Here is a 15,108-nt window from a genome sequence, read left to right on the forward strand (position 1 = left end):
AGTATTAGGGTGGGAGTGTCCCGATTTTCCAGGTACTGTCTGTCACGGCTTCCCTTTGCTAGGAAAGGGAATTCCCCGACGCTTTGTGCTTCCTGGGTGAGGCAATGCCCCACCCTGCTCCATGAGCTGTGCCCACTGTCAGACAAGCCCCAGTGAGATGAACCCAGTACCTCAGTTGGAAATGCAGATACCTCAGTTGGAAATGCAGAAATCACCCATCTTCTGTGTCACTCAGGCTGGGAGCTGCAGACTGGAGCTCTTCCTATTTGGCCATCTTGGAACCTCCACCAGTAGTTCTATTTTTAATTTTTTGAGGAACTTCCATTCTGTTTTTTATAATGACTGTAGTAATTTTCATTCTCACCAGTAGTGTATAAGAGTTTTCCTTGCTCCACATCTATGTCAGCATTCATTACTTTTTGTCTTTTTGATAGTAGCCATTCTAATTGAGGTGAAATGATATTTCATTGTGGTTTTTATTTGCATTTCCCTGATGGTTAGTGATGCTGAGCATTATTTTCAGAAACCTGTTAGCCACTCACATATTTCCTTTTGAGGAATGTCTATTCAGGTCTTTTGCTCAAGGAAAGAGAACAAGAGTCTCTGCCTGGTAATCCAGATAATTATTCTGGATCTTGTCTAAGGCCATGAAGGTAACACCACTATGAGTCTGCAAGAACTAGTGTTAGTGGGCTTTGTGTGCCCCCCTAAAGCAGATACACCTTACAGCACAATGCCCAAGTCCTTTCAAATACCTGGAAAGCCTTCCCAAGAAAGACAGGTACAAACAAGCCCAGAATGTGAAGACTATAATAAATACATAACTCTTCAATGCCCAGATACGGATGAACATCTGCAAGTATCAAGACAATCCAGGAAAAACATGACCTTACCAAATGAACTAAATAGGGCACCAGGGACAAAGCCTGGAGAAACAGAGCTATGTGACCTTTCAGATATAGAATTCAAAATAGCTATTTTGAGAAAACTCAAAGAAATTGAAGATAACACAGAGAATAAATTCAAAATTCTATCAGATTAATTTAACACAGAGATTCAAATAATTAAAGAGATTCAAGCAGAAATTCTGGAGTTGCAAAATGCAACCGGTATATTAAAGAATGCATCAGAGCCTTTTAACAGCAAGATTGATTAAGCAGAAGAAAGCACTAGTGAGCATAAAGACGGGCTATTTGAAAATACACAGAGGAGACAAAAGGAAAAAGAATAAAAAACAATGAAGCACACCTACAGGATCTAGAAAATAGCTTCAAAGGGGCAAATCTAAGCCTTCTTGGCCTTAAAGAAAAGGTAGAGTAAGAGATGGGGGCAGAAAGTTTATTCAAAGGGATAATAATAGAGAATATCCCAAATCTAGACAAAAATGTCAATATCCAAGTACAAGAAGGTTATAGAACACCAAGCAGATTTAACCCACAGAAGACTACCTCAAGGTGTTTAATAATCAAACCCCCAAAGATCAAGGATAAACAAAGGATCCTGAAGGCAGCAAGAGGAAAGAAACAAATCACATACAATGGAGCACCATTCACATACATCTGGCAGCAGACTCTTCAGTGGAACCCTTACAGGCCAAGAGAAGTTTGCATGCTATGTTTAAAGGGCTGCAGGAAAAAAAACTTTTACACTAGAATAGTATATCTGACAAAAATGTCTTTCAAATATAAAGGAGGAATAAAGACTTTCCCTAACAAACAAAAGCTGATGAATTTCATCAACCCCAGATATGTCCTACAAAAAATGCTAAAGGGAGTACTTCAATTAGAATGAAAAGGATATTAATGAACAATAAGAAATAATCTGAAGGTACAAAACTCAGTGGCAATAGTAAGTACACAGAAAAACACAGAATATTATAACACTGTAACTGTGGTATGTAAACTACTCCCATATTTGCAGAAGCACTAAATGATGAACCAAAGAAATAACTACAACTTTTCAATACATAGGTAGTACAATAAGATATAACTAGAAACAACAAAAAGTTTTAAAATGGAGGGGTGTGGAAACAATGTTAAGGTGTGAAGTTTTTATTAGTTTTCTTTTTGTTTGTTGTTTATGTAAACAGTGTTAAGTTATTATCAGCTTAAAATAATTGTTATAAGATAGTATTTGCAAGCCTCATGGTAACCTCAAACCAAATAACATAGAACTGATATGCAGACACACACACACAAAGCAAGAAACTAAGTTGTATCACCAGACAAAATTACCTTCACTAAAAGGAAGACAGAAAGGAAAGAAAGAAGAGAAAACCACAAAACAACCAGACAACAAATAACAAAATGGCAAGAGTAAGTCCTTACTTACCAACAACATTGAATGTCAATGGACTAAACTCTTCAATCAAAAGACATAGAATGGCTGAATGGATAAAAAAAAAAAAAGACCCAGTAATCTGTTGCCTACAAGAAACACAGGTAAGCTATAAAGACAGATATAGACTAAAAATAAGGGGATGGAAGAATATATCCCATGCCAATGGAAACCAAAAAAGAGCAGGAACAGCTATACTTTTGTCAGACAAAATGGATTTCAAGACAAAAACTAAGAGACAAAGAAGGTCACTATATAATGGTAAAGGGGTCAATTCAGTAAGAGGATAAAATAATTTTAAATATATTTGCACTGAGCACTGGAGCACCTAGAAATATAATACAAATATTATTAGAGTTAAAGTGAGAGATAAACCCCAATATAATAATAACTGGAGACTTCAACACCCTGCTTTCAACACTGAACAGATCTTCCAGACAGAAAATCAACAAAGACACATCAGACTTCAACTACACTATACACCAAATAGACCTAATAGTTATCTACAGAACATTTAATCCAACAGCTGAAGAATACACATACTTTTCCTCTGCACATGGATCATTTTCAAGGAAAGACTATATGTTAGGTCACAAAACAGGTCTTAAAACATTCAAAAAATTGAAATTATATCAAGCATCTTCTCTTACCACAATGGAATAAAACTAGAAATCAATAATGAGAGAAACTTTGGAAACTATAAAAACACATGGAAATTAAACAAGATGCTCCTGAATGACCAGTGGGTCAATAAAGAAATTAGGAAGGAAATTGAAAATTTTCTTGAAACAAATGATTAAGAAAATACAACATGCCAAAATCTACGGGATTCAGCAAAAACAGTACTAAGAGGGACGTTTATAGCTCTAAGTGTCTATATCAAAAAACAAGAAAAACTTCAAATAAACAACCTAATGATGCATTTCAAGGAACTAGAAAAGCAAGAGCAAACCAAACCCAAAATTGGTAGAAGAAAAGAAGTAATAAATACCAGAGCAGAAATAAATGAAATTGAAATGAAGAAAACAATATAAAATTTCAGTGAAACAAAGAGTTGGGTTTTTGAAAAGTTAAACAAAATTAACAAATCTTTAGCCAGACTACCTAAGAGAAAACGAGAGAAGCTCCAAGTAAATACAATGAGAAATGAAAAAGAGACATTACAACTGAGGTGCTGCAGAAATTCAAAGGATCATTAGTGGCTTATATGAGCAACTATATACCAATAAATTAGAAAATCTAGAAGAAATTGATAAATACCTAGACACATACAACCTAGCATGATTGAACCAGGAAGAAATCCAAAATCTGAACAGATTAATAACAAGTAACATGATTTAAGTTGTAATAAAATGTCTCCCCATAAGAAGAACCCAGGACTCAATGACTTCACTGCTGAATCCTAACAAACATTTAAAGAAGAAGGAATACCAGTTGTACTCAAATTATTCTGGAAAATAGTGGAGGAGGGAGTATGTCCAAACTCATCCTACCAGGTCAGTGTTACTCTGATACCAAAACTGGACAAAGACACATCAACAAAGCAAACTACAGCCAATATCTCTGATGAATATTGATTTAAAAATCCTCAACAAAATGCTAGCAAATAGAATTCAACAATACATCAAAAAGATCATTCATCATGACCAAGTGGGATATCTCCCTGGAATGCAAGGAGGATTCAACATATGCAAATTAATCAATGTAATATATCATATCAATAGAATGGAGAAAAAAACCATATGATCATTTCAAATGATGCTGAAAAAGCATTTGATAAAATTCAACATCCCTTCTTGATAAAAACACTGAAAAAACTGGGTATAGAAGGAAAATACATCAACATAATAAAAGCCATGTATGACAGACCCACAACTAATATCATATGGAATGGGAAAAAATTGAAAGCCTTTTATCTAAGATCTGAAACACAACAAGGATGCTTACTTTTACCACTATTATTTAACATAATGCTGGAAGTCCTAGCTAGAGCAATCAGACAAGAGAAAGAAATAAAGTCCATCCAAATTGGAAAGGAAAAAGCAAAATTATCCTTTTTGCAGACAATATTATCTCATATTTGGAAAAACCTAAAGACTTCACCAAAAATTAAATGCCTAGGAATTAATTTAACCAAAGAAGCAAAAGAGCTCTATAATGAAAACTATAAAGCACCGATGAAAGAAATGGAAGGGGACATCAAAAAATGAAAAATATTCTATGTTCAGGATCAGAAGAATCAATATTGTTAAACTGTCCATACTACCAAAAGCAATCTACAGATCCAATGCAATACCTATCAAAATACCAATGACATTCTTCTCAGAAATAGAAAAAACAATCCTAAAATTTATATGAAACCACAAAAGACCCAGAATAGCCAAAGCTATTCTAAGGAAAAAGAACAAAACTGGAGGAATCACATTACCTGACTTAAATTATATTACAGAGCTATAGTAATCAAAACTGCAGAGTACTGCCATAGAAATAGACATGTAGACCAACAGAACAGAATAGAGAACCCAGAAACATAACATAACCCACATAACTACAGCGACTCATTTTTTATAAAGGAGCTAAGATCATACAATGAGGAAAAGGCATTATTCAATAAATGGTGCTGCAAAAACTTGATATCCATATACGGAAGAATGAAACTAGACCCCAATCTCTCATCATATACAAAAAGGAAACAAAATGGATTAAAAATTAAATCTATAAACTCAAGCTATGAAATGACTACATGGAAACATTGGAGAAATTCTTTGGAACATTGGTCTGTGCAAAAATATCTGAGAGTAATACTCCACAAGCACAGGCAACCAAAGCAAACATGTACAAATGGTATCACATCAAGTTAAGAGGCTTCTTCACAGCCATGGATACAATTGACAAAGTGAAGAGACAACTCACAGAATGGGAGAAAATATTTGCTAACTACCCATCTGACAAGGGATTAATAATCAGAATACATAAGGAGTGCAAATAACTCTATAGGAAACATCTAATAATTCAATGAAAAAATGGGCAAAAGATTTGAATAGATGTTTCTCAAAAGAAGATGTACAAATGGTGAACATACAAATGAAAAGGTGCACAACATCATTGATCATCAGAGAATTGCAAATCAAAGCTACAATGAGATATTATCTCACCCCAGTTAAAATGGCTTATGTCCAAAAGAGAGGCAATAACAAATGCTGGTGAGGATGCGAAGAAAAGACAATCCTTACACACTGTTGATGGTAATGTAAATTTGTACAACCACTATGGAGAAGAGTTTAGAGATTCCTCAAAAAAATGAAAAATTGCTCTAACATATGATCCTTTTTTGGGGTATTGAATATACCCAAAAGAAAGGAAATCAGTATGTTGAAGAGATATCTGCACTCCTATGTTTGTTTCAGCACTGTTCACAATAGCCAAAATTTGGAAGCAACCTAAGTGTCCATCAACAGATGGATGGATAAAGAAAATGTACTTATACATAATGGAGAACTATTCAGCCATGAAAAGAATAATATCTTGTCATCTGCAATAACATGGATGGAACTGGGGGTCATTATGTTAAATGAAACAAGCCAGGCACAGAAAGACAAACATTGCATGTTCTCATTTATTTGTGGGATCTAGACATCAAAACAATTAAACTAATGAAGATAGAGTAGAAGAATGGTTACCAGAGGCTTGGAAGGGTATTGTAGCCTGGTAGGGAGGTGGGGATTGTTAATGAGTGTGACTAAAAGAGTTAGTTCTTTGAAAATAATTGGACAAACAGCTAAACTAAGAAAAAACAGAGAAGATTCAAATAAATAAAATCAGAAATAAAAGGAGAGACATTACGACTGATACCACAGAAATAAAAATGATTGTAAGAGACTACTATGAACAATCATATGCTAACATACAATATAGCAAGACTAAGTCATGACGAAATCAAAACATCAGAACAGGAATAGTTAACTCCTATGACTAGTAAGGAGTTATGAATCAGTAACAAAAAACCTACCAAAAAAAATACTCACAACCAGATAACTTCACTGGAAAGATCTACCAAACATTTAAAGAAGAATTAATTCCAATCTTTCTCAAACTCTTCCAAAAAATAGGAGAAGAGAGAACACTTCTAAACCCGTTTTATGAGTCAAACGTTACTCAGATACTGAAGTCAGGAAAAGACACTAAAGAAAAGAAAACTACAGAGCAATGTCTCTGATGAATATTGATGCCAAAATTTCTAACAAATTAAATTCAAGAGGACAATAAATGAATTATACACTATGACCAAATGGCATTTACTTCCAATAAAAGGATAACTCAACATATAAAATTTGAACAATATTATACATCACAGTATCAGAATGAAGGACAAAAACCACATTATCATCTCAACTGATGCAGAAAAATCATCTGACAAAAATCCAACACTCTTTCATGATAAAAACACTCAACAAACTATAAATAGAAGAAAACTACCTCACATAATAAAGGCCATATATGAAAAGTCTGCAACTAACATCATAGTCAATGATGAAAGAAATTGGAAGTCTCATGTAGCATTACTGGGAATGTAAAATGGTACAACCATTATGGAAAACAGTATGTAAGACCCTCAAAAAATTATAAATTGAATTACCATATGATCCAGCAATTGCACTTCTAGGTATATATCCAAAAGAGTTGACAGCAGGATCAGTAAGAGCTATTTGCACACCGATGTTCACTGTAGCATTATTCACAATAGCCATGAGGCAGAAGCAACCAAGATGTTCATATATGGATTAATGATTAAACAAAATGTGGTATATACATACATTAGAATATTATTCAGCCTTAAAAATCCTGTTACATACTATACATGTGCTATATGAATGAAACTTGAGGACATTATACTAAGTGAAATGAGGCAGTCACCAAAAGACAAATACTGTATGATTTCACTTTAATAAATTGTCTAAACTGGTCGATCTCATAGAAACAGAAAGTAAAATGGTGTTTTCCAGGGATTGGAGAGAGGGAGAAATGGGAAGATGTTATCCAATGTGTATAGAGTTTCAGACTTGCAAGATGAAAAAGTTCTAGAGATTTTGTAAAACATGTATATAGTTAATGCAATTGAACTGCACACTTAAACACGATTCAGATGATAAATTTTGTTCTGGGTTTTTAGCACAATTTTTAAAAGGTCTCTATGATGTTACCTTTTTGTACAGAGTGTTGAGTTTTGTTTTGTTTTGTTTTGTCTTTTCTGGCAGGCAGTTAACTTACTAGTGGCTCTAATTGATCCTATTGAAGCTTGGTTTTAGTCCTTTAAGAATATGTCTAGAGCAACATTTGCTCTAGGGCAAGAATAGGCTTACTCCTTAGATAATGGTTTTTGACATCTCAACTAAATACCCAGTGTTCGATGTATTCAGCAAGGTCCCTCTACTCTGACTTATTGGACCTCTACTATCTCTCAGCACTATTCAACCTCTAATATCTCTTTTTTTATTTTTATTTTTTATTTTATTTTATTATTATTATACTTTAAGTTTTAGGGTACATGTGCACAATGTGCAGGTTAGTTTCATATGTATACATGTGCCATGCTGGTGTGCTGCACCCATTAACTCGTCATTTAGCATTAGGTATATCTCCTAAAGCTATCCCTCCCCCTGGCCCCACCCTGCAACAGTCCCCAGAGTGTGATGTTCCCCTTCCTGTGTCCATGTGTTCTCATTGTTCAGTTCCCACCTATGAGTGAGAATATGCGGTGTTTGGTTTTTGTTCTTGCGATAGTTTACTGAGAATGATGATTTCCAGTTTCATCCATGTCCCTACAAAGGACGTGAACTCATCATTTTTTATGGCTGCATAGTATTCCATGGTGTATATGTGCCACATTTTCTTAATCCAGTCTATCATTGTTGGACATTTGGGTTGGTTCCAAGTCTTTGCTATTGTGAATAGTGCCACAATAAACATACCTGTGCATGTGTCTTTATAGCAGCATGATTTATAGTCCTTTGGGTATATACCCAGTAATGGGATGGCTGGGTCAAATGGTATTTCTATTTCTAGATCCCTGAGGAATCACCACACTGACTTCCACAAGGGTTGAACTAGTTTACAGTCCCACCAACACTGTAAAAGTGTTCCTGTTTCTCCACATCCTCTCCAGCACCTGTTGTTTCCTGACTTTTTAATGATTGCCATTCTAACTGGTGTGAGATGGTATCTCATTGTGGTTTTGATTTGCATTTCTCTGATGGCCAGTGATGGTGAGCATTTTTTCGTGTCTTTTTTGGCTGCATAAATGTCTTCTTTTGAGAAGTGTCTGTTCATATCCTTCGCCCACTTTTTGATGCGGTTGTTTGTTTTTTTCTTGTAAATTTGTTTGAGTTCATTGTAGATTCTGGATATTAGCCCTTTGTCAGATGAGTAGGTTGCGAAAATTTTCTCCCATTTTGTAGGTTGCCTGTTCACTCTGATGGTAGTTTCTTTTACTGTGCAGAAGCTCTTTAGTTTAATTAGATCCCATTTGTCAATTTTGGCTTTTGTTGCCATTGCTTTTGGTGTTTTAGACATGAAGTCCTTGCCCATGCCTATGTCCTGAATGGTAATGCCTAGGTTTTCTTCTAGGGTTTTTATGGTTTTAGGTCGAACGTTTAAGTCTTTAATCCATCTTGAATTAATTTTTCTATAAGGTGTAAGGAAGGGATCCAGTTTCAGCTTTCTACCTATGGCAAGCCAGTTTTCCCAGCACCATTTATTAACTAGGGAATCCTTTCCCCATTGCTTGTTTCTCTCAGGTTTGTCAAAGATCAGATAGTTGTAGATATGCGGTGTTATTTCTGAGGGCTCTGTTCTGTTCCATTGATCTATATATCTGTTTTGGTACCAGTACCATGCTGTTTTGGTTACTGTAGCCTTGTAGTATAGTTTGAAATCAGGTAGCATGATGCCTCCAGCTTTGTTCTTTTGGCTTAGGATTGACTTGGTGGTGTGGGCTCTTTTTTGGTTCCATATGAACTTTAAAGTAGTTTTTTCCAATTCTGTGTAGAAAGTCATTGGTAGCTTGATGGGGATGGCATTGAATCTATAAATTACCTTGGGCAGTATGGCCATTTTCACAATATTGATTCTTCCTACCCATGAGCATGGAATGTTCTTCCATTTCTTTGTATCCTCTTTTATTTCATTGAGCAGTGGTTTGTAGTTCTCCTTGAAGAGGTCCTTCACATCCCTTGTAAGTTGGATTCCTAGGTATTTTATTCTCTTTGAAGCAATTGTGAATGGGAGTTCACTCATGATTTGGCTCTCTGTTTGTCTGTTATTGGTGTATAAGAATGCTTGTGATTTTTGTACATTGATTTTGTATCCTGAGACTTTGCTGAAGTTGCTTATCAGCTTAAGGAGATTTTGGGCTGAGACATTGGGGCTTTCTAGATATACAATCATGTCGTCTGCAAACAGGGACAATTTGACTTCCTCTTTTCCTAATTGAATACCCTTTATTTCCTTCTCCTGCCTAATTGCCCTGGCCAGAACTTCCAACACTATGTTGAATAGGAGTGGTGAGAGAGGGCATCCCTGTCTTGTGCCAGTTTTCAAAGGGAATGCTTCCAGTTTTTGCCCATTCAGTATGATATTGGCTGTGGGTTTGTCATACATAGCTCTTATTATTCTGAGATACGTTCCATCAATACCTAATTTATTGAGAGTTTTTAGCATGAAGCATTGTTGAATTTTGTCAAAGGCCTTTTCTGCGTCTATTGAGATAATCATGTGGTTTTTGTCTTTTGTTCTGTTTATATGCTGGATTACATTTATTGATTTGTGTATATTGAACCAGCCTTGCATCACAGGGATGAAGCCCACTTGATCATGGTGGATAAGCCTTTTGATGTGCTGCTGGATTTGGTTTGCCAGTATTTTACTGAGTATTTTTGCATCAGTGTTCATCAAGGATATTGGTCTAAAATTCTCTTTTTTGGTTTTGTCTCTGCCTAGCTTTGGTATCAGGATGATGCTGGCCTCATAAAATGAGTTAGGGAGGATTCCCTCTTTTTCTATTGATTGGAATAGTTTCAGAAGGAATGGTACCAGCTCCTCCTTGTACCTCTGGTAGAATTCGGCTGTGAATCCATCTGGTCCTGGACTCTTTTTGGTTGGTAAGTTATTGATTATTGCCACAATTTCAGATCCTGTGATTCAGATCCTGTGATTCAGATCCTGTGTATTCAGAGAGTCAACTTCTTCCTGGTTTAGTCTTGGGAGGGTGTATGTGTCCAGGAATTTATCCATTTCTTCTAGATTTTCTAGTTTATTTGTGTAGAGGTGTTTGTAGTATTCTCTGATGGTAGTTTGTATTTCTGTGGGATTGGTGGTGATATCCCCTTTATCATTTTTTATTGCATCTATTTGATTCTTCTCTCTTTTCTTCTTTATTAGTCTTGCTAGTGGTCTATCAATTTTGTTGATCCTTTCATAAAACCAGCTCCTGGATTCATTAATTTTTTGAAGGGTTTTTTGTGTCTCTATTTCCTTCAGTTCTGCTCTGATCTTAGTTATTTCTTGCCTTCTGCTAGCTTTTGAATGTGTTTGCTCTTGCTTTTCTGTGTCTTTTAATTGTGATGTTAGGGTGTCAATTTTAAATCTTTCCTGCTTTCTCTTGTGGGCATTTAGTGCTATAAATTTCCCTCTACACACTGCTTTGAATGTGTCCCAGAGATTCTGGTGTGTTGTGTCTTTGTTTTCGTTGGTTTCAAAGAACATCTTTATTTCTGCCTTCATTTCATTATGTACCCAGTAGTCATTCAGGAGCAGGTTGTTCATTTTCCACGTAGTTGAGTGGTTTTGAGTGAGTTTCTTAATCCTGAGTTCTAGTTTGATTGCACTGTGGTCTGAGAGACAGTTTGTTATAATTTCTGATCTTTTACATTTGCTGAAGAGAGCTTTACTTCCAACTATGTGGTCAATTTTGGAATAGGTGTGGTGTGGTGCTGAAAAAAATGTATATTCTGTTGATTTGGGTTGGAGAGTTCTGTAGATATCTATTAGGTCCGCTTGGTGCAGAGCTGGGTTCAATTCCTGGGTATCCTTGTTAACTTTCTGTCTCGTTGATCTGTCTAATGTTGACAGTGGGGTGTTAAAGTCTCCCATTATTATTGTGTGGCAGTCTAAGTCTCTTTCTAGGTCACTCAGGACTTGCTTTATGAATCTGGGTGCTCCTGTATTGGGTGCATATATACTTAGGATAGTTAGCTCTTCTTGTTGAATTGATCCCTTTACCATTATGTAATGGCCTTCTTTGTCTCTTTTGATGTTTGTTGGTTTAAAGTCTGTTTTATCAGAGACTGGGATTGCAACCCCTGCCTTTTTTTGTTTTCCATTTGCTTGGTAGATTTTCCTCCATCCTTTTATTTTGAGCCTATGTGTGTCTCTGCACGTGAGATGGGTTTCCTGAATACAGCACACTGATGGGTCTTGACTCTTTATCCAATTTGCCAGTCTGTGTCTTTTAATTGGAGCATTTAGTCCATTTACATTTAAAGTTAATATTGTTATGTGTGAATTTGATCCTGTCATTATGATGTTAGCTGGCTATTTTGCTCGTTAGTTGATGCCGTTTCTTCCTAGCCTCGATGGTCTTTACAATTTGGCATGATTTTGCAGTGGCTGCCACCGGTTGTTCCTTTCCATGTTTAGTGCTTCCTTCGGGAGCTCTTTTAGGGCAGGCCTGGTGGTGACAAAATCTCTCAGCATTTGCTTGTCTGTAAAGTATTTTATTTCTCCTTCACTTATGAAGCTTAGTTTGGCTGGATATGAAATTCTGGTTTGAAAATTCCTTTCTTTAAGAATGTTGAATATTGGCCCCCACTCTCTTCTGGCTTGTAGAGTTTCTGCCGAGAGATCCGCTGTTAGTCTGATGGGCTTCCCTTTGTGGGTAACCCGACCTTCATCTCTGGCCTCCCTTAACATTTTTTCCTTCATTTCAACTTTTGTGAATCTGACAATTATGTGTCTTGAGTTGCTCTTTTTGAGGAGTATCTTTGTGGCGTTCTGTATTTCCTGCATCTGAACGTTGGCCTGCCTTGCTAGATTGGGGAAGTTCTCCTGGATAATATCCTGCAGAGTGTTTTCCAACTTGGTTCCATTCTCCCCATCACTTTCAGGTACACCAATCAGACGTAGATTTGGTCTTTTCACATAGTCTCATATTTCTTGGAGGCTTTGTTCGTTTCTTTTTATTCTGTTTTCTCTAAACTTCCCTTCTCGCTTCATTTCATTCACTTCATCTTCCATCACTGATACCCTTTCTTCCAGTTGATCGCATCAGCTCCTGAGGCTTCTGCATTCTTCACGTAGTTCTCGAGCCTTGGCTTTCAGCTCCATCAGCTCCTTTACGTACTTCTCTGTATTAGTTATTCTAGTTATACATTCGTCAAAATCATTTTCAAAGTTTTCAACTTCTTTGCCTTTGGTTTGAATTTCCTCCTGTAGCTCAGAGTAGTTTGATCGTCTGAAGCCTTCTTCTCTCAACTCGTCAAAGTCATTCTCTGTCCAGCTGTGTTCCGTTGCTGGTGAGGAGCTGCGTTCCTTTGGAGGAGGAGAGGTGCTCTGCTTTTTAGAGTTTCCAGTTTTTCTGCTGTGTTTTTTCCCCATCTTTGCGGTTTTATCTACTTTTGGTCTTTGATGATGGTGATGTACAGATGGGTTTTTGGGGTGGATGTCCTTTCTGTTTGTTAGTTTTCCTTCTAACAGACAGGACCCTCAGCTGCAGGTCTGTTGGAGTTTGCTAGAGGTCCACTCCAGACCTTGTTTGCCTGGGTACCAGCAGCGGTGGCTGCAGAACAGTGGATTTTTGTGAACCGCAAATGCTGCTGTCTGATCGTTCCTCTGGAATTTTTGTCTCAGAGGAGTACCCGGCCGTGTGAGGTGTCAGTCTGCCCCTACTGGGGGGTGCCTCCCAGTTAGGCTGCTCGGGGGTCAGGGGTCAGGGACCCACTTGAGGAGGCAGTCTGCCCTTTCTCAGATCTCCAGCTGCGTGCTGGGAGAATCACTGCTCTCTTCAAAGCTCAGATGGAAATGCAGCCTCTAATATCTCTATTTGGCTCACAACCCTCAAGTAGTTCTCTTCAGGGTTTCAGCAAATCTTGCCCTATAAATGCCTAATATTAAGCCAGTGGCTTAAGGTGACCTTAGAAAAGATTTCTGAAGCTTCATCTCTAAACAGCTACCTCCTCTCTACTAACCTGCTTCATAAATCCCAGCCACAATGCTAATAATGTCTACCTTAGACACCATCAATTTCTCTTTGGGTTCTATTTCACTGCGTTCCTAATCAAAAAGCCAGGGTAAATGTGTTGCTTACCTCCAGTAGTTCTTTCTTTTCCAGGATAGCAGTGTTGTGGAGTCTGTTGTTAGATGTCTAAAAAGAGTTGCTGCTTATGTATTTTTTGAGTGTTATATTTGTTTATGGCTGAAGGGTAAATCTAATAGTTATAACCCTGTCATTATTCAGATGAAGAATTTGTCATTTTAAGTTTCTCTTTTTTATATTCACCACCTACCATTCTACAGTATTTTTTGATTCTTTGTGGGATTTTTCTCTGTCTCTACAATAACTTAACTTCCATGAGAAGTGATTCTGTCAGTCTTACTCAATTCAGATCTCTAGTGCTCAGAAGAGTGCTTGGTACTCATGAATAAACAACAAATATTTAATAAAATTAAATGAAATGAATGAGTAAATTATTGAATAATTATGCACAGATGAAATTTGCTTCAGAACATATTAAAAATTTTACACTAGCAATATAAAAGAATAGGTGAATAGATGTTGAAAAAATTTGTGCAAAACCTATGATATTGAAGAAGAAAATAAGGGGCAGACAAAGAAGTGAAGGAATAAAAAATGAAGAAGAAATAAGAAGACAGTAAAAGAGGAAAATGGAAAAGAAGAAAGTTTGTAGAATTGTGGAGAAAAAAAGACAAAAAGACAAGAGAAGAAATGAGGATATTTTTGTAAAAAGGAAAGGAAGAAAAAGAAAAGAGGCAAGTATTATTTTAATTCTCTAACACAGCAAACATACTGTGCCCTGACTTTGTATTTTAAGGCAAAATTCTAGGGCTGCAATGGTGAAAATAGTTGGGTTATTCTTTCTAAACACCTTTATCCCCAAACATATTTGCCCTGATGTGTAAGAAATACACACAAAAATATAATCCAACTTAGATTATGAGTGCCATAGGAAAGTGCTGTGAGAAGAGTGATATCAAAACCTTATATGGGGATCTAGCTAGGTAGGCATCTTAGAGAAAGTGACTAAGTTTGAAGGATGAATAGAAATTAAACAGATGTTATGGGAGGAAACAATTTGACAAAAGGTTTGGAATAAGGAAAAGAAAGAGCATGGAACAGAAATTGTAAAAGTTTCTGATTGGCTTTCCTAATAATGTCTGAATGACGCTGTTGGGAATGTGTATTGGGAATGCAAGTTTAAGTCTCACATGGAGAGTCTCGAATATTGTGCTAGGAGTTTGAACTTTTAAGTGCTCTTTAGCTTTTGGAAACCTCTGAGAGTTTTTCAATAAGAAAGTAATAAGCTCAGATCAGTGATTTTAGAACATAAAATGTAATTTTAAAAAGCAGAGAAATAAATAGAAAAGAGAGAGAAGGCAACTTTGAGCAAAACTTTTTTCTTAAAAAAAGCGTTTTTGGCACTTAGTTCTAGAAATGATAGAAAAACAGATGGAAAAGATGTTGGTACTGGAAATTATTTT

The sequence above is a fragment of the Homo sapiens genome, chromosome 10 (assembly GCF_000001405.40).
Source record: "Homo sapiens chromosome 10, GRCh38.p14 Primary Assembly".
Classification (NCBI taxonomy): Eukaryota; Metazoa; Chordata; class Mammalia; order Primates; family Hominidae; genus Homo; species Homo sapiens.